Genomic DNA, 25,199 nt, shown 5'->3' with positions numbered 1-25,199 from the left:
TATGCCACTGCACTCTGTAGCTTAGGCTACAGAACGAGACCCTGTCTCAAAAAAAGAAGAAAGAAAATTAGATCTCTATCTCAGAGATCTAACAGGTAGAAAAGCATCTTTCTATCTATAGACTTCAAGGGAGGCAGATAATTATAAGATGCCCAGATAAGCCTTCCTGACACCAAGTCCAGGCTTGTGAAGAGGGGATGTATAATGTGATCATTGGAGATTCCTCAGTTTGGAGACTTATCACAGCCTGAGAGCCAGTCTGTTGCCAGGAGGAGGCTGCAGGGAGCCAAGATAAGGCTGGAGACAAGATTTATGGATTTGTAGAATCTAAGACTACCCCTACAGCCTTTCTTCATAGCATCTTAACCCTATCTAGCAGCAAAGACACGAGTACAGAAAAAGGGCACTCTGAGAGCATTTTCCAACAAAACACTTTATTCATTTTTTTTCTATATAGCTCCTTCCAAAGGTAATTCCCCCTGCAGCCTAGCCAGTCTGACCTCTCTCTCCATGCTTGCCACTTTTGCAGAACAACAAAACAACATTGGGATGAGATTCAACATTGGGATTCTCCATTGGTGGGCAGCAGGGGTGGAATCTACTCTGGGGCACCCACCTTTAGGGACTGGCAAGTGGGGTCAGATGGTCCCGCTGCTCCCTACTGGCTACGACGTCGTTTCTTCCTTCTGCCCGTGACAAAACTGTCACACCGCCTTTTACGAGGCTGTGAGGGTCGAACTACTCCCAGAGCTAGGGGTTTCTCCCTGGGGACCCCAAGTTGAGCTCCTGAGTGGGGTGTCTTTTCAGTAGGGGCTGGACCTCCAGCTAGAGCTCGCTTCCCAGACTTGGCAACAGGATATGGAAGTTTGCTGGGGCCTTTTGCTCCAGCAGGGAGCAGGTGGGATGCTCTCTGGCTGCCCTGACCTCCTGAGGCATGGTGAGGACTGAGGGGATGCTCCCTTGGTGAGAGGCTAAGTTTAGAGGCCAAGAGGTAAGCAAAGTTGGAGAGTTCCTCATCCTCTTCCTCTGCTTCCTTTTTCTTTTTCTCCTTTCCTTTGGCCCTGTCTGCTGACCTGTGTGTTTTACTAACAGAAGTTTCTCTCGGAACTATGGCATTCCTGGTTCCCCTTCTAGGCAAAGTGCTTCCAAGGCCCTGGTGAGAAGATGTTGCTTTGGGAGTCCCAGTTGTGTAAGACTCCTGACTCTCTTGTAAAGGAGCAAGGTTTTTAGGCTTGGACAGATCAGGATCCACCCTGCCTTCTCCTTGGGGGTCATAAGAATGAACATTCAGTGGGCAGGTGTCCTCGCTGACCCTTAGTTGGAGGCCACAGTCATCTTTAACATCTAGTATGTTGACAGGTTCTATGGTTTCCAACAGAGGAGAAAAGGAATTGCCTCTGCTCCCTGCCTCTTGACTGGCTTCAGGCAAGGAGGAGGCATCCTCAGTCCCCATGATAAGGAGATTGCCTTGGCATGTGGGTGGAAGGGTTTCTTTGGAAGACCCCAGTGTGGAATCACCACTTTCTAGCAATGGGAAGCAACCTTCTGCCCACAGATCACTGGGATGCCCTACGGTTTCACAGCTCTGTTCTTGATTTTCTTTGGACCTCAAGGGTGGGCTGTTGGCCCTCAAAGGTCCTGGCAAGCTGCAATAGTTTCTCTTTTCTAGGGCAGCTGCCGCAACTGTGCCTCCACAGGGAATCACACTGCTCTCCGTATCCCCAGGTACTAGGGTTTCTCCAGGACCCAGGGAAATGTTGCCCCTGGAGCCCAGTCCCTGGCAGCCTTCCTGATACTCAGTTACACACTTCTCAACTTGGAAGCTCTCTATGACCTCCTCTATTTGTACAGGCAGCTCCAAGCCTACAGCATCCATCTCACTGCTCAGCCAAACTCCTGGGCTGAGACAGACATCGTCCCTCTCCCCAGCTGCTCTAGGGGAAGGATTCTGATCATAACTCTGAGCCATGGGGGTACCTCTGTCATCTCCCCACATGGCTCCTGAAGAGCCTTCCCAGGGCACTGCTAAAGGCTCCTTCCCTTGAGGAAGCACTCCACGACCCCCTGTTTGTTGTCCTTTCTGCAATCCCAGGACTTGCTTTTCTAACCCTTGTCCTTGCAGAGGAGCCAGCTCTGCAAGTCCAGCATCCAAACTGGGAGTGCTCTCAGGCTGGAAGCCTCCCTGCCAACAAAGGGGCAGAGCCTCTGAAGTCCTATCAGCCACCAGGCAGTGCCCAGGAGGCCCAGCGCCTCCTAGATGGCCATCCTGATGTAGAGATACCTGGTTTATAACCTTCCCAGACCCTCTCCTCTCCACACCCAAGGGTCCCGGAGTTCCCTGTGGAGCTGCAAGTTCTGGCTGCAGGTCCCAGCTGCTGGGGGATGGCAGAGTGTTCCCATCCCTGTGCATCCCTCTGGGGCTATCTAGGGCTTGCTCCTGCCCACCATGCACTTCTCTTGCCCGTTTTCCTGAAGAAGAAACCTTTCCAAGGCAAGCGGCGCCCCCAGCCCCCTGAAGCCCAGGTGAGGGCCGAAGCCGCCCATCCCCATCTTCATCCTCAACAGAACCAGAAGGACTTGAGTCCAACTGAGCGCCACTGAAACTTGGAGGCGCCTCTGCATCTTCCTCCTCTTCCAAGGCCATGAGTCGCTTCTGGACCAGCTGAAAGAAATGAACAAATAGTCAGTTCTATACGTGGTTGTGAAAGAGGTGGCTGAGTGGGTGGCACAAGACGGTATTTGGGCAGGGCAAGGAAGGCAAGCAAGTAGTTTAAGCGATGGTAGCAAAGACAGATACTGCAGCTCTTTCCCACCTTCTTGTGCCTTATTCCCATGCTTTGAGCCCTTACATTCTCATTTCCTGTGTTTCCATAGCCCTCTACCTACTCGTTCTGCACCTGAAGCCCAATCCTGAAGCTGTTCATCTCTAGAGCCATATCACCCACGACAGTGTAGGGTTAGATAAAATCTTGCAAGCTTCTCGTTCTCATATTTCCTATACCCCAGTTTTACCTGGGCAAGAGTGAGTCCTTCTTCTTGCTCTAGCTCCTCAATTAAGGCCAAGGGATCTCTCTGTTTTTCTGGGGACAGCAGATCTGCCAGAAATTGAGGGTGAATGACAGCCTCCACCTGGATAACAGAAGGAAAAGCGATGTAAGTCTGTAAGCAGGTAACCTGTGAAACAAGGGGCTTTACAGAAGAAACTAAGAGCTCCCCAACTCTCCCCTCTTACCCCTCCGGTATTGTAAACTGACCACCACCGGCTACACACATTCTCATGATGATGCATGCACACACATTACTCAGTTATAGAATAAAACCTAAGTCCTACTGCATTGGACAAACCCCAGATCATTAGTTCCCGGGAGTACCCACCCCAAGGATCTGCTAGAAACAAGATGTGCAGGCCCAGCTCACCTTGGAGACAAAGACCTTCTGAGAACACAGCTCATTGATGTAGCTCAGGAGACCTGGATCTGGATACATCCCTTCCTCCTCCTGCTGCTGCCCTTCTTCCTCTTGTTTTCCATCTGACTCCCCAGTGGCCAAGTGAGTCCCCACCAGCCATTCCATGATGTCAACATACTCCTTCACAGCTTCTGGTGGGATCTCCTTGGGTGCCTCAGGAGCAGGAGGTCTCTGGGCTTTACGCTGACGCCGGCGGGGGGCCCGTGTCTTGGAGGCTGCCTTCTTCGGAATGTACACTAAGGGAAGAGATGGACAGGAGAATGGGAAGTAGCACAGAAACCACAGATTCTGCCTCCTTCGGAATGTACACTAAGGTAAGAGATGGACAGGAGAATGGGAAGTAGCACAGAAACCACAGCTTCTGCCTCCCAGCTCTGTAAGCTCAGCAATCTGGGTACATTGAAATGGTTCCAGGCTGGATTGGGCCAACCTGAAAAAGCGCCAGCCATGGGAGATTTAGGACCTAGAGGGTCTAAGAATCACTGTATGAGGAATTTTGGAATCCCTGAGATTCCAAGAAACCCCCTAATCCAGTCCCCATTTCTTAGGCAGATGAGGTATTATGTGCTGAATTTAGAGTCTCGGTGAGAGTAGTCAGTTTACTTCACCAAGATCAATACCTAGTTCAGGGCAAAAGGAACCTGAGAACCCAGCCTCCTATGGGGTGGTCTGTTTGGAATATCAAATGCCACTCTCCAGAGGGAAAGTGGCAGAGCCTGGGCTATGCCTTCTCTAATCTGTGACTGGCTTCTGTATGCATCCCTTTGAGCCTTTGGCCCACGGCTCCTGTCAAAATTGGGTAGCCTCACCTGGCTGCTGGCAAACCTCAGAGGCCAGGGGCCCTAGAGGATCAAGTTTCAAAGGGGTTGCAGGAGACAGGCCCTGAGACCCATTCATCAGCTGTGTGTTCTGAATCTGCATCTCCTCAGCCTCAAACTCCATGAACCTGCAGAGGGTGAGAAAGGCATAGGCAATGCTGAGAAGGAGACCAGACCCATCAGAAATCCAGACGACAGCCAAGCATGGCCAAGAAAGGAAGTGCTCTCAGGTGGGCAAAGTCTGCCTAAGTCATGTCACCCAGGAGGGTGGTCACAGGTGGCTTAATCGTATTTCCAGGGAAACTTCAGGAGCTCAGCACATAGTTCCTTCCCCTATAGTCATAACTTAGGAAGCTTAAGAAAATGAATGGCCAGGTGGGGTGGCTCATGCCTATAAACCCAACACTTTGGGAGGCTGAGGTGGGCAGATTGCTTGAGCCCAAGAGTTTGAGACCAACCTGGGTAACACGGCAAAAACCCATCTCTACAAAAGATACCAAAAAAATTAGCCAAGAGTGATGACGCGCGTCTAGTCACAGCTATTGTGGGGCTGAGGTGGGAGGATCGCTTGAGCTCAAGAGGTGAAGGCTGCAGTGAGCCATGACAGTGCCACTGCACTCCAGCCTGGGCAACAGAGTGAGATCCTGCCTCAAGAAAATTTTTAAAAAGTAAAGAATGAGGCCAGGCGCAGTGGCTCACGCCTGTAACCCCAGCACTTTGGGAGGCTGAGGCGGGCGGATCATGAGGTCAGGAGTTCGAGACCAGCCTGGCCAACATAGTGAAACCCCGTCTCTACTAAAAATGCACAAAATTAGCCTGATGTGGTGGTGGGTGCCTGTAATCCCAGCTACTCGGGAGGCTTAGGCAGGAGAATCACTTGAACCCAGGAGGCAGAGGTTGCAGTGAGCCGAGATCGTGCCATTGCACTCCAGCCCAGGCAACAGTGTGAGACTTTGTCTCAAAAAAAAAAAAAAAAAAAAAAAAAAGTTAAGAATGATCTAGAGCTTGTAAACTTCTCTTGGACACAGTGAGGGCTTTCAGTACTTGTTTTTGTTTTTGAGACAGAGTCTCACTCTGTCGCCCAGGATGAAGTGCAGTGGCCCAATCTCGGCTCACTGCAACCTCTGCCTCCCGGGTTCAAGTGATTCTCCTGCCTCAGTCTCCTGAGTAGCTGGGACTACAGGTGCGTGCCACCACGCCTGGCTTTTTTTTTTTTTTTTTGTATTTTTAGTAGAGACGGGGTTTCACCGTGTTAGCCAGAATGGTCTCAATCTCCTGACTTCATGATCCGCCCGCCTCACCCTCCCAAAATGCTGGGATTACAGGTGTGAGCCAATGTGCCCGGCCTCACTTGTTTTCCGTACCTATCTCACCCAGCTTCATGGATTGTACACAGCAGTGCTCAATATAGGCTTGTTTAACTTAATCAGGCCTATGCAACAGCCTGGTGGGATCTCACAGTGGGATCCTCCTCAAGACCTCATTTGCCCCTGCCTACAACCACAAAGAATTCAAGGCAGTTCCTACCAGGAAACAATGTGAGATCCCAGAGTCCTGAGACTGGGATGGGATTCTTGGAAAGGTAAGTCTAGGAAGCATGGGTCCAAAAGGTTTTGGGAGGGAGTAAGTGGAAGCTAAGCTTGGAAGAATCTGTTCATTTTTCTGAGTTTTTTCTTTCTTTCTTTCTTTTTTTGAGACAGAGTTTCGCTCTTGTTGCCGAGGCTGGAGTGCAATGGCACAATCTCGGCTCACCGCAACCTCTGCCTCCTGGGTTCAAGCGATTCTCCTGCCTCAGCCTCCTGAGTAGCTGGGATTACAGGCATGCGCCACCATGCCTGGCTAATTTTGTATTTTTAGTAGAGATGGGGGTTTCTCCATGTTAGTCAGGCTGGTCTCGAACTCCCGACCTCAGGTGATCTGCCTGCCTCGGCCTCCCAAAGTGCTGGGATTACAGGCGGAGCCACCACGCCTAGCCTTTTTTTTTTTTTTTTAATCAAAGATATTATAGAGAAATAGAAGAAGAGCCAGGAGACAACTTTGGGCATCCAGGACACTGGCTTTCCCCGGCTCTTCCAGAACCAGCCCCCTCCCTGGGATAAAGGCGGAAAGGGATTTTCTGTGCCACTATTTCCAATGGAGGAGTGGTCCTGAAGTTCTGTATCAATAGCCACTTGCTACCAAGTCAATGAGAAGAGAAAAGAACCTGCCTGGTAGAGCACACCTCCTCATTGCTAGGTCCCTTCAGCATGAAATTTCTATATCTATCGGGGTCCAATCTCCAATCCCATCCTAAGACCTACAATATCAAGGCTCCTATACAGATTCAGGATCTGGTGAGGGGGGAGCTTTCAAGAGGAAACAGGATAGAAAAACCCAAGAGTCAAGGTGGTGGAAGAAGAAGCAAGGATCCAGGAAACTGCCATCCTAGTCTACACCCCTCCTCCCGTCCCTTTTTTTCTTTTCTTTTCTTTTTTTTTTTTTTGTGATGAGGTCTTGCTATGTTGTCCAGGCTGGTCTTGAACTACTGAACCCAAACCATCCTCCCACCTTAGCCTCTAGAGTAGCTGGGACTACAAGCACACACCCAGCCTAACATCCCTTTTTTTTTTTTTTTTTTTTTTTTTTTTTTTTTTTTTGAGATGGAGTCTTGCTCTGTCACCCATGCTGGAGTGCAGAGGCATGATCTTGGCTCACAGCAACCTCCACCTCCCAGGTTCAAACGATTCTCCTGCCTCAGCCTCCTGAGTAGCTGGGACTACAGGCACATGCCACCATGCCCGGCTAATTTTTGTATTTTTTTTTTTTTTAGTAGAGACAGGGTTTCGCCATGTTGGCCAGGCTGTTCTCGAACTCCTGACCTCAGGTGATCCACCGGCCTTGGCCTCCCAAAGTGGTGGGATTACAGGCGTGAGCCGCTGCGCCCCATCCTAACATGGCTTTTGATAATCACCCCCACACAAGTCTCTCTGCGGCCCTTACTGCTCTCAGCCACACAGCCTCCCTCAGGAGAATGAAGGTTCATCGAACTCACCTTTCTGCCATCTCATAAAAGATCATCCGGTCAAAGTTGCTGGTGTGCTCCCACTCCTGCACAGCCAATGGCAGTCCCTCCTCCAGGGTCATAGTGGGCTTCAGCCGGGCCAGGGAACGAAGCACTGGGCTAAAACCCCCATTGAGTCAGTCACATTCTAAAAGTGTGCTCCCATCCACCTGCCCTGACACCTACATCAATAACACATCCCCTGCCCCTCATCAAATCTATTGTGCCCCTTAGGGCCTGTCGTGTCCCACTTCTGATTAGACTTACAGACGCTCAACCTCCCATCCATTCATCTACCATACTCGCCCCTCTTCCTGTTGAACTTTACAACTAATATAAAATCAAACAGACAATTCTTCTCCCCACCTTTTAAAATCAATGGCAACTACCACCCCTAATTATCACAGTGCCATCCTCAATTAATTATTAGAAAGGGAGGACTCGCGTTATTAAATGAATGGGATTTGCTATAAAGTATGTTTAACCTTGTCCAAAGGCTCTTGCATTTTTTCTTTAAAGGCATTTGCTAACCCAAAGGAATCTCTAATTAAAGGTCATGTGGTGTTTTTATTTATTGGTTTTTCAGTCTTTGTTTCCAGATATTCCCCACAGACAGTTAAATGCCAGTACTAGACCCCCACTTCTAGAGGGCTCTTGAGCCCTTCCTAATCCAGAAGAAATCAAGAGCCCAGCCTAAAGCAAGGGCTTCATTTTTGTCTCTCTGACTCCCTTGGAGTCCTCAGACATTATTGGGCATCAGAATCGCTTGGGGAAGCTCGTTATAATCAACTTGCAGCTCCCCAGGATCCCACAACTGAGCATTTTAGGAGCTTCCCATGTTGCAGTGGTCTGGACTGCCTCTTGTGGAAGACCCTGCCCAGAGCCCCTGAGTGTGAAGCACAAGCAGACCAGGACCCAAAGCAAATGGATCCCATGCAAACCTTGAGAGCCCACATTGGTTCAAGATTTTGAAATTTAGCCTGCTAGGCTCCAAGAGCGAACTCAGATCTGCCTTGAGAAAGCAGGGAGCCTGAAGACGCTGTACATCTAGGACTTTGGGGGAACATCTTGATTCATTTGCTCCAAGTTCGGGGTAGAGGGATTCCTTTAGGAGTTCAGCCACTGGAAGAGCACCATGTACATTTGTTTAAAGCAATAAAATGTGGTATGTGTTATATAGCGGCTTACACAAAATGCTGAGGGCACAGGGCAGTTGAGAGGGACAGTGGGTCTGGGTGGGAAGGGAAGACTGTTCCCCAGCTGAGGAATGACTGTTTTGTAAACAAAACAGCCTAGGACCCTGGGCTCCTTGACTAAACACACACTCGCTCTTAAGCAAGGACGTTTTGACCTTTTGCGAGTTCTTTTCCTCTTCTAGATGGCCTTTTTAGGATAATAATAAAACAGTTGACATTTAATGAAACATTCTCTGCGCCAAGGACTTCACATATATTAACCCATTTAATCTCCTCAGCAACTCTGTGAATTAGGTATAGTTATCCCCCTTTTTAACTGAGAAAACTGAGGGCAAAGATGTTAAATGTCCTGCCCAGGATCACAAATCTAGTGAGTGGTAGAGCCATGCCCTTGACCACTAAGCAAGCTCTACCCACCACCCTATTTCAAAGTGAATTCTCCTGAATAAAATGAGTGGAGGGAGCAGAGGGAGCAGCACACACAAAGTCCTTTGCCTGGCCCCACACTGTTCCCCCTGCCACCCAGGGCCCTGAGTTAGGGTCCAGCACTCATCCTGGCTAGTTTGGATAGTTCTGACTCAATGTCAAAAGGTAGTAAAATAGAACGGGGGGAGGACCCTGGCACTTAGAGTGAGAGACCTAAGTTCCAATCACTGGTCCTTGGTTTCAGTCTTCTTATCTGTAAATGAAGATTACCAGAGGAAGGCTTGCCTGAACTCACAGTGTGGTGAGGATCACTTAAGATAAGACACCTGAAAGGTTGTTATAAACTAGGAAGTGGGTTAAGAGGCTGATTATTATTATTAATATGTTTTTCATTCTCAGAGCATCTCCCTTGCCCTCATGACCTTCCCTCAAGTAGTCCTAAACAGCCTAAACTACTATGTTCACCCCAAAGTCCTCCTTATTTAAAAGCCCTAGAATAATTAATCTCCGGTCTCCCCACTTACATAAGAAAACAGGAAAGAGCTTCTGTGTCAGGACTCTGGGATAGGTGCCTCCGGGCCAAGGCTTTGTAACGCTGCCACTGACGGAAGTTCTCATAAACGTCCTTGGAAATTTTGGAGCGGTCACCTAGGGAAGGCTTGGATAGAGTGGCCACAGGACCTCCTTCCCCGGTTGTCCCATGTGGCCCTGGCCAAGCTTTTTCCAGGGGCACAATGGGGACCAGTTGAGCAACTGGTGGTGGAGGCTGAGGCGGAAGGCCTGGAGGACCCTCCTGGCTGACACCAACAGCCTTAGAGGGCAGAATGGTCTTCACATTAGATGCTGTCACAAATGGAGGTGCAGGACCCTCAAGGCCTCCACAGGGAGTGCCCGGGGCAGTCGAATTGAGGGCAGTCTGAGTAAGGATAAAGTTCTGAGTTTGAGAGGGCTCAGCTGACCCCCCTTCTGTCTTGACTTTGACAATGACCTTGCCAGCCCCAGCCCCACTGAGGCAAGGGCCCCCATCCCCTGTCACCAACAGTGAGCTGGGGAAAGCAGAGAGCATCAGAGGGTTGTCTGGAGAGAATACTGAAGGCATGATGGGCTGTGGAGGTGGCTCCCTGGGTGGGTGGTCTGGTGGGTCAGAAGTTGGTGGGAGAAAGGGAAGTGCAGGGGATGGAGACGGGGCGGCACTAGGTTTCATGCTCATATCCGGTCCCGGCAATGCAGATGCTGTTGAGACAAAGAAAAAGAAGAAATGGAGTAGGAGAAAAGAAGACCAGAGTTAGCCATCTGAATTCCCCATTTTTTTATTTTTATTTTTATTTTTATTTTTATTTTTATTTTTTGAGATGGAGTCTCGCTCTGTCGCCCAGGCTGGAGTGCAGTGGCACAATCTCGGCTCACTGCAATCTCCGCCTCCTAGGTTCATGCCATTCTCCTGCCTCAGCCTCCTGTGTAGCTGGGACTACAGACGCCCACCACCACGCCCGGCTAACTTTTTGTATTTTTAATAGAGACGGGGTTTCACCGTGTTAGCCAGGTTGGTCTCGATCTCCTGACCTTGTGATCCGCCTGCTTCGGCCTCCCAAAGTGCTGGGATTACAGGTGAATTCCTCCTTTATTTTTAAATTTTTTTGTAGAGGCCGGGCACGGTGGTTCATATCTGTAATCCCAGCACTTTGGGAGGCCAAGGTGGAAGGATTGCTTGACTCCAGGAGTTTGAGACCAGCCTGGGCAACATGGCAAAACCCTGTCTCCATTAAAAATACGAAAATAAGCCAGGTGCGGTGGCATGCACCTGTAGTCCCAACTACTTGGGGGGCTGGGGTGGGAGGATCGCTTGAGCCCAAGAAGTTGAGGCTGCAGTGAGCTGAGATTGCGCCTCTGTGCTCCAGCCTCGGTGACAAAGGAAAACTCTGTCTCAAAAAAAAAAAAAGAAAAATTGTAGAGATGACGTCTCGCTATGTTGCCTAGGCTAGGCTCAGACTCCTGGCCTCAAGTGATCCTCCTGCCTCAGCCTTCCAAAGTGCAGAGATAACTGGTGTGAGCCACCACACCCCATCTGAGTTCTTCTTTAGACCCGAAGACTCAAAGCACTGATTCTCAACAGGTGAAAGAGGGGATATGGATGGGGAACTTGCATAGTTTGCAAATGTCCCCCAAGTGATTTTGATCTTACTTCTCGTTGAGAATGACTGCATTAAAGAAGTTGCTTCTTTTTCAACAAGACACACAGACCCCTATCTGCCAAGAAGAGACAAGCCCAAGCCATCACTGCCTCTAAGTGCTGCTTTTTTTTTTTTTTTTTTTTTTTTTTAGATGGAGTCTTGCTCTGTGGCCCATTCTGGAGTGCAGCAGCACGATCTTAGCTCACTGCAACCTCCGCCTCCTGGGTTCAAGTGATTCTCCTGCCTCAGCCCCGCAAGTAGCTGGGATTACAGGCACGAACCACCACATCCAGCTAATTTTTGTATTTTTAGGACATACGGGGTTTACGCCATGTTGGCCAGGCTGGTCTCAAAAACCTGACCTCAGGTAATCCACCCGCCTCGACCTCCTAAAGTGCTGGGATTACAGGCATGAGCCACCGCACCCGGCCCAAGCAGAGGCAGTTTATAATACATTCCAGCCTAGTTTTCAGGAAGGCATTTCTCTGCAACAGATAACTACAGATTATCTTTTCCCACTAAGGTCCTTCCCACCTTACCCTCCCATCCTCCATCCTCCACATCCCCTTCCCCTCATAAGCTCAAGCATGGCAAAATCCTAGAACAGGCTCCAGTTGCCTAAAAAAGACAGATGAACTTGGGCCTTCCCCCTTGAAACCTCTCTGTGCCAGTCCTAAGACACATACCCCTGATCCTCTCTCCCACCACAAAAACACATGCGGAAGTGTCCCCTGTTCAAGAGAATCAAGTTGCTAATTGCCATCCTTTCTCTATACTCAGCATGTGTCCTCAGAGACACCTTAATCTGTCCTTAAGGAAGTCCTCTTCCTTCCCCAGCCCCTAGTCTTAAAGGTACAATCTCCTTCCCTAGCCTCCCCAAGTGTGATACCTTTGACGGGGTGTAGCACCTCACATTCCTTTAGGTCAGCCCAGAGAGCTTGTCTCAAAGGATATGAGCAGGTACCAGAAATCCTCCTCACCACCTGCAGACTTACCTCCATCTGAAGCCATCCTCTCAGGTTTGGGCACTAACTGTGGCTGTCTGGAAGCCTCCAGAATGAGGCAGTCAGGTCCAGGACCCAGAGTAACCTGGCTCCAGTAGGTGCACAGGGATCCAAGGAAGGGAAGGTAAAGATCAGATCACACAGAACTAGAATACGGAACTCAAGGCATTCTGCTGTGGGGGAGGGGAGAGGGAAAAGTGGGGTGAGGGTGGGGACAGATATTCCATGAAGGGTTCTAGTAAGTATGAAAAAACCAGGAATTCCCTTCAAACTACAGTTTGGCAACACAATTGATGTTTGCCTCTTTAGGGCTATTTGTAAACTTTTTCTCAGATTCCCAACACATTACAGTTTTACCGTTTGGTTCACTACACTTCGATTCTTCACCAACATATCTCATTTTGTGTCCTTCCATCCCAGCCAGTTCTGTAACTGACTTCCTATTAACAGCAGGTTGACTGTAGACCCCTGACTTAATTCAATGATGGCTATATTTTCTGAACTAAATTCAGAGTACATTGGTCTATACACGTAAGGATCAAGGGAACTAAAGTTTAAAATTAGAATTGTCAGATGATCCAAGGTGCTCGATTGCTGTGTGCACATCATTTCCTTGGAAAGCTGTCCAATCTACTAACATAGGCTCTGTACTCCACAGACGCCTTACCCTTTGCTGAAAAGCCTCACTAAATAAAAAAGCTGCCATGCAGTTTAAAATTTCAAGAGTAGAAAGTCCTTCTTTTTGTTAAATTATTTTGGTTTAAACTTTAAAAATAAAATTTATCTGCTAAGGTTCCTGGCGACTATTTCAGGCCAGTAACTCCCAGAGCATCCTCTACAGCCACAGCTTCATCCAAACGTGGATTTCCCCCAAAAGGCCTTCCCTGGGGTTCATGGCATCTTTCTTGCTTCCTCTGAGATATCTTTTCTCTTTTCTAAAGACCTGAAGGCTAAAATCATCATTTTCCTTTCTAACAAAATTAACTACTTAGATTTAAATTTTTTTTTTTAAACAGAGTCTCGCTCTGTCACCCAGGCTGTAGTGCAGTGGCGTGATCTCTGCTCACTGCAAGCTCCGCCTTCCGGGTTCACGCCATTGTCCTGCCTCACCCTCCTGAGTAGCTGGGACTACAGGCACCCACCACCATGCCCGGCTAATTTTTTGTATTTTTAGTAGAGACGGGGTTTCACTGTGTTAGCCAGGATAGTCTCGATCTCCTGACCTCATGATCCGCCCGCCTCAGCCTCCCAAAGTGCTGGGATTACTAGGCGTGAGCCACCGTGCCCGGCCTTTAAAAAATTTTTAACAGGTAATAAATACATTAGCAAGGTTCAAAAATCAAACTGCGTAATAAAATACATAGCAATAAGTCTGCCTCCCAACCCTTACCCCTTTCTCCTGCAACTAAGTTCTCTATCCCAGAGGAAACCAGTATCATCTGTTTCTTGTGAATACTTGCAGAGATTTTTTATGCAACTACAAGTAAATACAAACCATATTCTTTTTTTTTTTTTTTTTTTTTTGAGACAGGATCTCGCTCTGTCGCCCAGGCTGGAGTGCAGTGGCGTGATCTTGGCTCACTGCAACCTCCGCCTCCTGGGTTCAAGTGATTCTCCTGCCTCAGCCTCCCGAGTAGCTGGGACTACAGGTGCCCGCCACCACGCCCCGCTAATTTTTGTATTTTTGGGGGTTTCACCATATTGGCCAGGCTGGTCTCGAACTCCTGACCTTGTGATCCACCCGTCTCAGCCTCCCAAAGTGCTGGGATTACAGGCGTGAGCCACCGCGCCCAGCCACAAACCATATTTTTTTTTCTTTAAGACGGACCCAGGCTGGAGTGCAGTGGTGCTATCTCAGCTCGCTGCAACCTCTGCCTCCCCGGCTCAAATGATTCTCCTGCCTCAGCCTCTGAAGTAGCTGGGACTACAGGCGCCCACCACCACGCCCGGCTAATTTTTCTGTATTTTTAGTAGAGACGGGGTTTCGCCAGATTGGCCAGGCTGGTCTCGAACCCTTGACCTGTGATCTGCCTGCCTCAGCCTCCCAGTGTTGGGATTACAGGCGTGAGCCACCGCGCCCCGCCAAACCATATTCTTAAAAAAAAAAAAAAAAAAGTGCAGGTTTTTCTGGTTACACAGTTAATATATATTCCAATGCTTTTGTCATTGTAAATAATGGCGTAACGATGATCTTTGTAATGATATTTTGGTTCTCATTTTCATTTCTTTAAACGAGAGTCTTATAAGGAGAACTTCTATATTCTTTTAAAAATTGTAAAAACTCCTAGAAGGTGCACTTTATTACGTTATTATTAGCTACTCACCACCATAAGAAAGAGCGCTGAATTTGCGGTAGGGACCTAACTTTAAATCTTGGTTCGACCGCTGAAACATGCTTCACCAGTTTCATAAAATAACTTTACGCTCTTTCGCTTTACGGAATATTGATACTCAACATGCATTCTTTACCGCCAACGCTTTGAAATGGAGCAGGGGAACTGGATGTAAAAGAGGGGAGGGAAGAAAACCTCTTCTTTCTTCCCTAGGGTAAAGGGGCTCTGAATCCTGGAGCCCTTGTTTCTTCAGGCATTGAAAACTCACTGCTCCTGAAATGGGTGTGTATCTTGAGACAAAGACAGGCTTCTATACGTCAATATTCTATCCACATCCATCCCTACCCCCCTCTAACGCCGTGTACCTAGCACACAGTAGGGACACTCCACGTGTTTTAGCCTGCAAAGTTGCAAGTAGGGCCCCAAGCCAAGCCCTGCTCTCGTGCGCCCCCTTCTGGCTAGCTGAAAACAAGGCAAAAATTGACTACATTTTCCGGAGTGCCAGGAGAGAGAGACTTCCGGTTATGCAGGAAGGAAATTGACGAACACGTGACGCGGTCGGGCGGACCACTGCAGACTGAGCGGTGGACCGAATTGGGACCGCTGGCTTATAAGCGATCATGTTTCTCCAGTATTACCTCAACGAGCAGGGAGATCGAGTCTATACGCTGAAGGTGAGGAGAGAAAACAGGGTGTAAATAGGCATGGCGAGAAATGTAGATGGGAGGAGTGGGTGAGGTCATACGTGGAGTTACCTAGCTGGGTGCGGGGAACCAGAAAGTCCAGAACCGAGGTGGGGAAGAACCGGGACCGCGCGACTCATTTTTTAATTAAAAGAAAAAATTCTGGCGGGGCGCAGTGGCTCCCGCCTGTAATCCTAGCACTTTGGGAGGCCGAGGCGGGTGGATTGCCTTAGCTCAGGAGTTCGCGACCATTCTGGGCAACACTGTGAAACTCCGTTTCTACTAAAATACAAAAAATTAGCCGGGCATGGCGGTGTGCGCCTGTTATCCCAGCTACTCGGGAGGCTGAGACAGGAGAATCGCTTAAACCCGGGAGGCAGAGGTTGCAGTGAGCCGGGATAGCGCCATTGCACTCACTTTTCCTTTTTTTTTTTTTTTTTTTTTTTAAAGACAGGGACTCGCTTTGTTGCCTAGGCTGTAGTGCGGTGGTGCGGTCTCGGCTCACTGCAACCTCCGCCTCCTGGGCTCAAACAATCCTTCTGCCTCAGCCTCCCGAGTAGTTGGGACTACAGGCGTGCGCCACCATACCCGGCTAATTTTTGGTTTTGGGGTTTTTTGTTTGGTTGGTTGGTTTTGTTTGTTTGTTTGTTGTAGAGACGAGGTTTCGCCATATTGCCCAGGCTGGTCTCAAACCATCCTCCCGCCTCGACCTCCCAAAGTGCCAGGATTACAGGCGTGAGCCACCGCGCTCGGCCTTTTTAAATTTTATATTTCTCTATTTATTTGTACAACTTTTTGAGTTGACCATTGCATCTTCTATTTTCATGTTTGCCCTTTTTCGCGCTGGCCCCACCCCATTTCATCACTCCTGTACTGACATACATTCTGTGTTCCTGGAGCAGAAATTTGACCCGATGGGACAACAGACCTGCTCAGCCCATCCTGCTCGGTTCTCCCCAGATGACAAATACTCTCGACACCGAATCACCATCAAGAAACGCTTCAAGGTGCTCATGACCCAGCAACCGCGCCCTGTCCTCTGAGGGTCCCTTAAACTGATGTCTTTTCTGCCACCTGTTACCCCTCGGAGACTCCGTAACCAAACTCTTCGGACTGTGAGCCCTGATGCCTTTTTGCCAGCCATACTCTTTGGCATCCAGTCTCTCGTGGCGATTGATTATGCTTGTGTGAGGCAATCATGGTGGCATCACCCATAAAGGGAACACATTTGACTTTTTTTTCTCATATTTTAAATTACTACAAGATTATTAAAGATAAAATGATTTGAAAAACTCTTATTTTGTGAGTTGTTGGAGGAAAGGATTGGCAGTATTTTTTTAAAGGGAGGGAGATGATAAAGGAGAGTACCCCAGAGAGTTGCAACAATACCACTTGGAAGAAAAACTTCAGTCCTGCTGTTGCAAGAGTGGTCATGTGCTGTTCATGATAGGAGGGTATTGGGGAAGAAAGATTAAGACTTTCACAGCTGTCAGCATTCACTGAAAAATACCTCTGTTGTCACTTAACGTAATTTCTTGTCCCTTGAAATAAGATTTTGATTAAAAATGGAAGAGTACTTGTAAAAGTAATAGGCATATTACAGACAGAGGTCAGTGAATTGAAAGTCAGAAGACCAGTATTTGCTTTTTGTATAACTTTGAGAAAGTTACTTAACCTGTTTAGTCTGATTTTTCTCCTGATTAACTTATCTTTGAACTCAAATTGATTTAGTGGTGGGCCTTTCTTTTTTTTTCTTTTGAGACAGAGTCTAGATCTGTTGTCCAGGCTGGAGTGCAGGGGTGCAGCCTTGGCTGACTACAACCTCCGTCTCCCAGGTTCAAGCAATTCTCCTGCCTCAGCTTCCCAAGTAACTGGGATTACAGGTGCACGCCACCACACCTGGCTAATTTTTGTATTTCTTTTAGTAGTGACAGGGTTTCGCCATGTCGGCCAAGCTGGTCTCAAACTCCTCACCTCAAGTGATCCACCCACCTCAGCCTCCCAAAGTGCTGGGATTACAGGCATGAGTCACCACACCTGGCCTGGGTCTTTCTTTTTTTTTGAGATGGAGTTTTGCTCTTGTACCCCAGGCTGGAGTGCAGTGGCGCCATCTTGGTTCACTGCAACCTCCGCCTCCTGGGTTCAAGCTATTCTCCTGCCTCAGCCTCCCGAGTAGCTAGGACTACAGGCGCACACCACCATGCCTGGCTAATTTTTGTATTTTTAGTAGAAACAAGGTTTCACCTTGTTGGTCAGGCTGATCTCAAACTCCTGACCTCAAGTAATCCGCCCGCCTCAGCCTCCCAAAGTGCTGGGATTACGGGCATGAGCCACCTTGGCCGGCCTAGTGCTGCAGATTTTAAAATTGCTTTGTGGAGTCTGTATTTTAATTCTGCAATCTTTATTTTCTATGATAAAAATTCTAGATTCCAGAAGCAGATATAACTTAAATTAGCACAGATGTGATTTATGAAGACATACCCTGGAAATACTTTTTTTTTTTTTTTGAGTCAGGTCTCACTCCTGTGGTCCAGGCAGGAGTGCAGTGATGTGATCACAACTCATTGCAGCCTCTACCTCCCTGTCTCAAGCGGTCCACCCCATTTTTAAATTTTTTATAGAAACGAGGTCTCACTATGTTGCCCAAGCTGGTGTTGCACTCCGGGCTCAAGCTGTCCTCCTGCCTTGGCCTCCCAAAGTGTTGGGATTACGGGCGTGAGCCACAGTGCCCGGCCAGACTTTGCTTTTCTTGGATCTTGCTATTTGACCATCCCAGCAGAAAAGTTCAGGATAGTTGTGGGTTGCTGAAAAGAAAAAAAAAAGTCTCTCAACTGGAGTCATAATTAATAGAAGACAGATGATTTTGAAATACATTACTGAAACATATAGGAATGGTGAAATGAGATACTTGTTTCCTGTCAAGGAATTTTATTTCTTAGCCTGTTCACTTACTTGCAGGGTTCTTAACATTGGATCTGAAGGATTTTAAAGAGTTAACTTAGAGAAATTGTGAAATGGGATACTTGTTTCCTGTCAAGCAATTTTATTTCTTAGCTTGTTCACTTACAGGATTGGATATAACATTGGATCTGAAAGATTTTTAAAAGTTATCTTATCCAATTAAGGGGATAATGATTGGAGACATGTTTCTTAAGCACCAAAGTCAGTAAGTGAATTTTGCTACCAGTTTTTTAATGTTGGCTGCAGTTCTGCCTTTATCTTACAAAAAAGAAAAAAAAAAAAGAATTAGCATTGCTCCATGCTACCACCTGTGTAGACTTAAAAGCTTTAACCTGAAAATATTCCTAATGAATATAGAGGAGAGAAAGCAAACTGGCATGAATATAAAAAGGACTTTTTCCATAAGAGATCCCCTGAGGAATGAGGCTTCATTTTGCACCAGAGGCTGTGTCTCCCTGAGAAAATAAAGAGATCCCTGGGGTATTAACGTCTGAGACATACATTTATAGAGCTTGGTTAGTGCTCAGAAACAAGAAAAGTCTTAACAGGGATAGTATATTGGAATTAGGTGGTACATATAAGTAAATGCAGATACACTGGTAGGAAATTGGGTTTCATAAAAATTCTGTGTTTCTTTATAAAGGAAAAGTCTGAAGTTTGAATGAACGGCAGGCCTGCCTGAGGAAAAAATTGATCCTGCTGAGGATGGATGAAAGCTGTGGGCCTGAATCAAGAAACCCAGACTTTATAAAGAGTCAAACTTTAGGAGGTTTACACTTTACATTAGGATTTCTCATTTTGTTACCAGGATCTTTTTAACCTTTTTGATCCTTTAATCCTTGAAAGGATTTGGACTTTGTGTGTCATTTGATAAAAGAGAACTTCCGGGAATACAGTTCCCATTGCTAGGAGTGCTGCTTAAACATAACCACTTGTGAGGAGCCAAGACCCCAGGCAAAACCGGGGGCCAGTTTCTGGGCCCAGGTGATTGTTAAATTTAGAGGTCTTGATCACAGCTATAGGAAATAGCTTTTCAAACAAAACATTGGTGAGTCAGAATTTATCGAACACCACCATTTATACATTAAATAAACACTAAGAAAAAATATTCTAGCGACAAATGTAGTGGTGAAAACATGGAATGGATTTGAGAAAATACATCAACGTCTTCTCCAGGTATAAAAAAACGTATTATTTAGTGGAACTTTCAGTCTGACTAGAAAGTGGACATAGCATTTATTAAAAGGACAAGAACAACAACAAAAAATTAAAGTAGGACAAATGTGTTTAAGGTACTTTATAGTTTTATTTTTATTTATTTATTTCTTTGAGACGGAGTTTTGCTCTTGTCCCCCCAGGCTGGAATGCAATGGTGCGTTCTCGGCTCACTGCAACCTCCGCCTCCCAAGCTCAAGCGATTCTCCTGCCTCAGTCTAAGGAATAGCTGGGATTACAGGCACACGCCACCACGCCCGGCTAATTTTTGAATTTTTGGTAGAGACGGGGTTTCGCTATGCTGGCCAGGCTGGTCTGGAACTCCTGAGCTCAGGTGATCGATCACGCCCGCCTCAGCCTCCCAAAGTGCTAGGATTACAGTCGTGAACCACCGCGCCAGGCCTACTTTATAGTTTTAATTTTTTTTTTTTACATAAAAGTGGTTTATTTGTATGTAGACCTCTACATAAAAATTACAATGAGGGTTATTCCCAGGTATAGGAGCGGTGTTTCTGGTTAAAGAAATCATGAATGATGTTTTCAGAGACACTCATGAAAGAGAAATGGCTCCCCGGGTTCTGAGGGTGAGGAGCAGCGCCCGCCCTCTAGGATGCTTCCAGAGTGAGTGTGCAGCACAGCCGGACCGAGGAAAAGGATTATTCCCCTCTTCACGCGGGTCGGGCCGTGCCCTGGACTACAGCTCCCGTCGTGCCCCTGGCCACTCGTATTCGGCCCCGCCCCGCCTGCCGTGTCCCGCGGCGAGCGCAGGCGCGCTGCACTCGGTCACCGCGGGCTGCGGCGGCTGGGCGGGGCTTTCGGGCGCCCGCGGGACGGTTCCGCCCTCTCACTGCACCCCCGGGCTTCTCTTCGCAAGGTTCACCTCGAATGAGGAACAAGCGGGGAGGGAAGGGAAGGGCTGCGGCGGCGCGGGCGCACCCCGTCGGGCCCGGGGCTGGGGGAGGCCAGGTCACGTAACTGCTGCTCTGGCGTCGGGCCGGGGAGGGGGCGCCAGCCCCGGCAGCGCGAACCCTGCGCGCGCCGCGGCTCTGAAACAGTTACCGGCTAGTAAACAACAGCTGCGCGCGCACCCGCATCAGCTGGCGCCGGGATACTGCACCTGCGACCTCCTTCTCCCTCACCCTGCTGCCCAGTCAGGCCAGCCTGCGTGGCCGTCTCCTCCTCTACTGGGACCCTGAGGAAGAACGACGAGGGGGTGACCTGCGCCGGGGCGGGGGTAGGGGAGAACGCGCCTCCGGCAAAGGGGGTGGCTCGTCCTGTCACACGCAGGAGAAACCTAGCGAGCGGACCGTGGCTCAGTGGACTAGCTACGACTTGCCACGACTCTGAGCTGCAGTCCGAGGTGTCTTGATCCGCTAACCTCCTCCCAGACCCCGAGGACCTTTCTGCTAGGAGAAGAGCGGGCGCGCCACCCCCACCGACCTCTCGGAGACAGGAATCCGCTCTGCCCCTGCATCCTCCTCTGCTCACCCTTCTCTCAGTAGTGTGGGTTATTTTTCCCGTTATGCATGTGCACCTTTCCCACCAGACCCAAGTGGATTGTCGACATCAAAAACACCGGGTGGCTTTGCATACACCTCCCCCCAGCCAGACCTGTGGGGTATTCACCTGATACACAACAGGTGGCCGGGTGTACACCTTTTAGCAATCTGATCCACGCTATAGTCGCCTGATAAAGGTTTGCCTGCACGCACTTCGCCCAACTAGAACCGTGGGACACTCACCAGATAAAGGACTACCTCGACAGGAAACTGGGGGCTGAGGGGAGGGAGGCTTCATCTGCTGCCCTGAGACCATGGCACTGAGCCTTCAGCCCCGGACCAGAGGGGTTAGCTAGGTAGCTCTTCATTCTGAAGGAAAGAAGTCACACAAGATTGGCATTGTTTTGTCTTTTTGTTTTTTGTTTTTTTCTCTCTTAAAAAATATATTCACCTATTGGTGATGCACTTTCTAGGACAGTCGGCTTGAATTCTGAGTAGAAGTATTCTTAGTTGGGGCTTTTTGTGTGGTGTGAATCAAGGTTATTGAAATGTGTTATTTTTCAAGTTATCTTTTGTATTGCAGTCAAAAGTAGCTAGCGTAAGAGGAAGATTTTGCGAGGTTCCCCCCACTTTTTTTGTTCTTAAAAAGAACAAAATGCATCCTCCAGAAACCACCACCAAGATGGCTTCAGTTCGGTTCATGGTGACACCGACAAAGATCGATGACATTCCAGGTTTGTCAGACACCAGTCCGGACCTCAGCTCTCGATCTAGTTCCCGAGTAAGATTTAGCTCCCGGGAAAGCGTGCCTGAAACAAGCCGGAGTGAGCCTATGAGTGAGATGTCTGGGGCCACCACTTCGCTGGCAACTGTTGCACTGGATCCACCCAGTGACCGGACTTCTCACCCCCAGGATGTCATCGAGGGTAAGTAGAAACACAGACCGCAGCATACTTTCATTACTGGGTTCTTTATCCAAGATGACCATCTATGGATCTGGAAGATCATAATCATATAATTATGATTATAATAGTCATCAGGAACCAAGGCATCTCTTTGTGAGATGCTTAGGAACTCTTTGGAATAATAGCATAGTGGCTCTTTGCAGTAGTAATTTGGTATGTGGGAAGGTGTATGACAAGAAGGAAGGCAAATGTATATTTTAACTTCCTCATTTTTGTCTTCTTAGAAATGAAATGGGTATTTTGGTTAAAAGTGAATATCAAAGAATGTAATCGTTTTCAGCACACAGAATCCTAAATTTTAAAATTTAGTGAGTTGGATATGTGTTCTGTAGCCATCATTGGCTATTTCAGTCTGCTTTAAGACTGGTTTCATGGAGTAGTTACTGGTCGTATCTTAGCAGCTTTCCTCCAAGACTTCGAATGTGTATTGCAAAATTCTTTTTTGAAATCTGTATTTTTATGGAGACCTTGACACAAGTAGCTAAGCCCACTCAGGGTGATGGTGGGTAGACCTAATGTGCTATTCTGTCAAATGGAAGACTTCTGAAAAGGCTTTTAGGGCCTGATTCCCATGTAATTTATTCTCTCTGAGCTTTAGATGGAAAGTCTGATGATTAGAGTTAGCAGGTAGCACACAAGCCACTCCTGGCTCATGTTGACTGCTACAGACCTTTAGCTTCCTAAACCAGTTTGTGTGTGTCAGCTGGCTTGGTTTTATTTGAGGTACTGGGAAGAGGTGATGGAAGAGAGAGAAGAGAGAAAATGGGGAGATCATAACATTTTTTGGACTCTGAAATTTAAAAGTTTGAGACCTGTACTGCTTTATATATTTAGTTTTATGCTGTGTTGTAACTAATGTAATCTTTTAATGATAAAAATTTCCCTTAAAGACTCTTAAAATAATATTCCACCCAAGTTTGAAAACCATAGCCTCACCCACTGACTTGTGAAAGCAAGGCTTACTCACCATTTTCCGGTGTCAGGAAATATTGTTCCTTTTAACCTAAAGGGTTCAGGAAACCAGAATGATTTTAGTTCCCTAATTCTGTTTGTGTTTTTAGTATCTGGAGACAAGGTAGATTTGGTAAAGTTTACAGTCCTAGAATTCACTCATCCTTGACTAATCATTTTTTCTTTTATGGAGACATAGGTTGGTTCTCAGACTTTACTGTTTTCAACTTTTTGACAAATTTTACAGTGTGTCATACACTGGATTAAAATTACAGTATGGAATACAAATTTATCATTTCCTCTTCCTCCAAATTAATTCCAAATTGTGGTTTTAGTTTTTATCCATCATGCTGTATTTAGGTTGTAAAAATTCCAGGTAAAGACTATACCAGTGTTAATTTCTTAATATTGTAATTATCATTAGGTAATTTATAGTTTAGTTTGTTAGACTTGTGACTTACATGTTACAGAATTGTATTTTTATTCTTTGGAAAAGTGGACTTAGTAATGTGTTAGACCAGCAGAACAGGTTCCTTGTCCAGTCTGCGGTTCTTACGTTACCCTTAAGCATTCTTTACAGTCTAAAGTGGTATCCTTTTACACTATAGGGGTAAAAATGGGACTACAGGGGTAAAAATGGGGACATATCTAAGTGAAATTTATGTTTGTTTACGTGGTTACAGATGTTAAAAGCTTGGTTCTCTATATAACACATTCCTTACTTAATGTTTAAATATTCTCCGGTACCCAGATGAAAGGGAAATTAATAGTCTGGCCATTAGAGAGGACTTTGCCCTATTCTCGTGGAACTTTATACTTTCTCAGTGACCTACCTTTTCTCTTTTTTTTTCTTTCTATATTTAAAAAAATTCTTATGATGACTGTCATCATGTGATAAATTTTCCCCACCATTAGAAGAAACCACTTAGAAACACAATTATTTCACCCTTGACTTCTCAGTATGTGAAAGCCCTTGTTAGATTTAGATGTAGATCTTCAAAGGGTGCTGTTGTGAAGAAAAGGGCCTAATGTTAATATACACTTCCCTCTAGGCTGGCTTTAATATAGATAACAACTGCATCCTTTCTACAGTTGACTCTCCTTAAGCTCATAGTGCATTTCACAGTTAGTTTGCTATTTTAGTATTTACAGTTCTCTGAATTTTTTCACCCTTTGTACATCCTTCTGTGGTTGTGACATTAGTATGATTCTCCTTTCCCCCATGCCTCCCACGTTTCTTCCTGTAGAGAAACTTCCCACCCGAAGTTTCTTGTCATATGTCTTCTACTCACATTACATCACACAAACAGGAGGTGACACATGAAGTTTTTTTTGTTTTTTTTTTTTTTGAGATGGAGTTTCACACTTGTTGCCCAGGCTGGGGTACAAGGGCGCAATCTCCACTCACTGCAATCTCTGTCTCCCGGGTTCCAGTGATTCTTTTGCCTCAGCCTCCCAAGTAGCTGAGATTACAGGCATGCACCACCACACCTGGCTAATTTTTTGTATTTAGTAGAGATGGGGTTTCATCATGTTAGTCAACCTGGTCTCAAACTCCTGACCTCAGGAGATACACCCACCTTGGCCTCCCAAAGTGCTGGGATTACAGGCGTGAGCCACAGCGCCCAGCCCTACATGAAGTTTTAAATACTTATTTCAGTATATTTTAATTTTTTCTGCTGTTGGCTTTCTGAGTAGTTTTCTTTCTGCTATCAAAGTAATTTTTCTTTCATTTTGGCAAGGCTCCATTTGAATTTATAGGACTGTCCAGTTGGTAAAATCAAGAATCTTAGCAGTGTATTAGCTTATGTATGAAGAACGCCTTAAAGATACAAAAGAAACTGTTGAGAGTGGATGCCTCTGGAAAGTGAGTTACAAAAATAGAGTGGAGCCAGGCACGGTGGCTCACGCCTGTAATCCTAGCACTTTGGGAGGCCGAGGCGGGTGGATTCCCTGAGCTCAGGAGTCCGAGACCAGCCTGGGGAACACGGTGAAACCCTGTCTCTACTAAAAATACAAAAAATTAGCCAGGCGTGACGGCGTGCGCCTGTAATCCCAGCTGCTCGGGAGGCCTTGACAGGAGAATTGCTTGAATCCAGGAGGCGGAGGTTGCAGTGAGCTGAGATCACGCCGCTGCACTCCAGCCTGGGTGACAGAGCGAGACTCTGTCTCAAAAAAAAAAAAAAAGAAAAAGAAAAAAAAATAGAGTGGAATTTTCTTTTACCAAAACAATTAAGGGCATATACAACTTTTAAGTATTTATAGTGTATCACTTTTATAGTAATTTTTTTGAAAAGCACCACATGTTAGAGCTAATGATCTAGAATCTTATTCTGATCAAACCACATTTTAATAAGTGAGGAGACTTAAAACCCCAATAGATTAGACTAAAAAAATAACAAAATAAATGAGGAAACTAAGGCTTATAGAGATGGTTATTTGTAGATCACAAAGTGGCAAAGCCAAGAC

General features: G+C 46.9%; 3 protein-coding genes across 14 annotated transcripts in view, besides 8 other annotated features; 2 read left to right on the top strand and 1 right to left on the bottom strand.

Moving 5' to 3' along the window:
- Positions 1 to 414: 414 nt before the first annotated feature.
- On the bottom strand, positions 415 to 14,835 carry NUTM1 (NUT midline carcinoma family member 1). 4 transcript variants are annotated; one of them, XM_047432341.1, is made up of 8 exons: positions 14,448 to 14,835; positions 12,115 to 12,296; positions 9,473 to 10,181; positions 7,318 to 7,446; positions 4,278 to 4,414; positions 3,418 to 3,704; positions 3,013 to 3,129; positions 415 to 2,662 (listed from the first exon to the last, which is right to left on the bottom strand). In XM_047432341.1, the coding sequence occupies exons 2-8, from the start codon at positions 12,128 to 12,130 to the stop codon at positions 659 to 661; spliced, it is 3,399 nt and encodes a 1,132-aa protein (XP_047288297.1). In that variant the 5' UTR covers positions 12,131 to 12,296; positions 14,448 to 14,835; the 3' UTR covers positions 415 to 658. The 4 variants fall into 4 exon arrangements, with proteins under 4 accessions (XP_047288297.1, NP_786883.2, NP_001271221.2 ...); NM_175741.3 differs by having other exon boundaries at positions 12,115 to 12,293; NM_001284292.2 differs by having other exon boundaries at positions 12,115 to 12,208.
- Positions 3,180 to 4,379: an enhancer, noted in NCBI's record as "BRD4-independent group 4 enhancer chr15:34645972-34647171 (GRCh37/hg19 assembly coordinates)". NCBI's record gives its function as "activates an origin of replication core promoter dependent on BRD2, P300/CBP, MED14 and CDK7 cofactors, and independent of BRD4, by STARR-seq in HCT116 cells {active_cell/tissue: HCT116}" and the evidence as "EXISTENCE:reporter gene assay evidence [ECO:0000049][PMID:35650434]".
- Positions 14,982 to 15,081: a silencer, noted in NCBI's record as "silent region_6280". NCBI's record gives its function as "represses an Ori minimal core promoter by ATAC-STARR-seq in GM12878 lymphoblastoid cells {active_cell/tissue: GM12878}" and the evidence as "EXISTENCE:reporter gene assay evidence [ECO:0000049][PMID:35858748]".
- On the top strand, positions 15,014 to 16,431 carry NOP10 (NOP10 ribonucleoprotein). Its single transcript, NM_018648.4, has 2 exons — positions 15,014 to 15,130; positions 16,042 to 16,431. The coding sequence occupies exons 1-2, from the start codon at positions 15,077 to 15,079 to the stop codon at positions 16,180 to 16,182; spliced, it is 195 nt and encodes a 64-aa protein (NP_061118.1). The 5' UTR covers positions 15,014 to 15,076; the 3' UTR covers positions 16,183 to 16,431.
- Positions 15,162 to 15,271: a silencer, noted in NCBI's record as "silent region_6279". NCBI's record gives its function as "represses an Ori minimal core promoter by ATAC-STARR-seq in GM12878 lymphoblastoid cells {active_cell/tissue: GM12878}" and the evidence as "EXISTENCE:reporter gene assay evidence [ECO:0000049][PMID:35858748]".
- Positions 19,955 to 20,514: a silencer, noted in NCBI's record as "silent region_6278". NCBI's record gives its function as "represses an Ori minimal core promoter by ATAC-STARR-seq in GM12878 lymphoblastoid cells {active_cell/tissue: GM12878}" and the evidence as "EXISTENCE:reporter gene assay evidence [ECO:0000049][PMID:35858748]".
- Positions 20,093 to 25,199, top strand: part of SLC12A6 (solute carrier family 12 member 6) — a 108,274-nt gene continuing 103,167 nt past the window's right edge. For 5 of the 9 annotated variants that reach the window (XR_931960.4, NM_001042497.2, XM_006720793.5 and 2 more), the window contains exon 1: positions 21,134 to 21,740. Coding sequence is in view for 8 of the 9 variants with exons in the window: in NM_001042497.2 (NP_001035962.1) it covers positions 21,470 to 21,740 (271 nt within the window). In the remaining variant the exon portion in view is untranslated. Of the gene's footprint in view, positions 20,190 to 20,368; positions 20,819 to 21,133; positions 21,741 to 25,199 lie in introns of those variants that run through there. The other 4 variants (NM_001042495.2, NM_001042494.2, NM_001042496.2 and 1 more) reach the window with 4 other exon arrangements.
- Positions 21,804 to 21,923: an enhancer, noted in NCBI's record as "active region_9179". NCBI's record gives its function as "activates an Ori minimal core promoter by ATAC-STARR-seq in GM12878 lymphoblastoid cells {active_cell/tissue: GM12878}" and the evidence as "EXISTENCE:reporter gene assay evidence [ECO:0000049][PMID:35858748]".
- Positions 22,125 to 22,194: an enhancer, noted in NCBI's record as "active region_9178". NCBI's record gives its function as "activates an Ori minimal core promoter by ATAC-STARR-seq in GM12878 lymphoblastoid cells {active_cell/tissue: GM12878}" and the evidence as "EXISTENCE:reporter gene assay evidence [ECO:0000049][PMID:35858748]".
- Positions 22,255 to 22,304: an enhancer, noted in NCBI's record as "active region_9177". NCBI's record gives its function as "activates an Ori minimal core promoter by ATAC-STARR-seq in GM12878 lymphoblastoid cells {active_cell/tissue: GM12878}" and the evidence as "EXISTENCE:reporter gene assay evidence [ECO:0000049][PMID:35858748]".
- Positions 23,932 to 23,981: an enhancer, noted in NCBI's record as "active region_9176". NCBI's record gives its function as "activates an Ori minimal core promoter by ATAC-STARR-seq in GM12878 lymphoblastoid cells {active_cell/tissue: GM12878}" and the evidence as "EXISTENCE:reporter gene assay evidence [ECO:0000049][PMID:35858748]".

The sequence above is a fragment of the Homo sapiens genome, chromosome 15, assembly GCF_000001405.40.
Source record: "Homo sapiens chromosome 15, GRCh38.p14 Primary Assembly".
NCBI lineage: Eukaryota > Metazoa > Chordata > Mammalia > Primates > Hominidae > Homo > Homo sapiens.
Note: the sequence above shows the minus strand (reverse complement) of the source record. Positions and strands in the feature narration are given on the sequence as shown.

Coding starts and splice junctions, on each gene's coding strand:
- NUTM1 (NM_001284292.2), bottom strand. Junction 10,182..12,114: donor GAGGATGGCTTCAGATGGAG/GTAAGTCTGCAG, acceptor TTGTCTCAACAG/CATCTGCATTGCCGGGACCG. Junction 3,130..3,417: donor AGAAGGTCTTTGTCTCCAAG/GTGAGCTGGGCC, acceptor TCTGTTATCCAG/GTGGAGGCTGTCATTCACCC.
- NOP10 (NM_018648.4), top strand. CDS start 15,077: ATGTTTCTCCAGTATTACCTCAACGAGCAGGGAGATCGAGTCTATACG. Junction 15,131..16,041: donor ATCGAGTCTATACGCTGAAG/GTGAGGAGAGAA, acceptor TTCCTGGAGCAG/AAATTTGACCCGATGGGACA.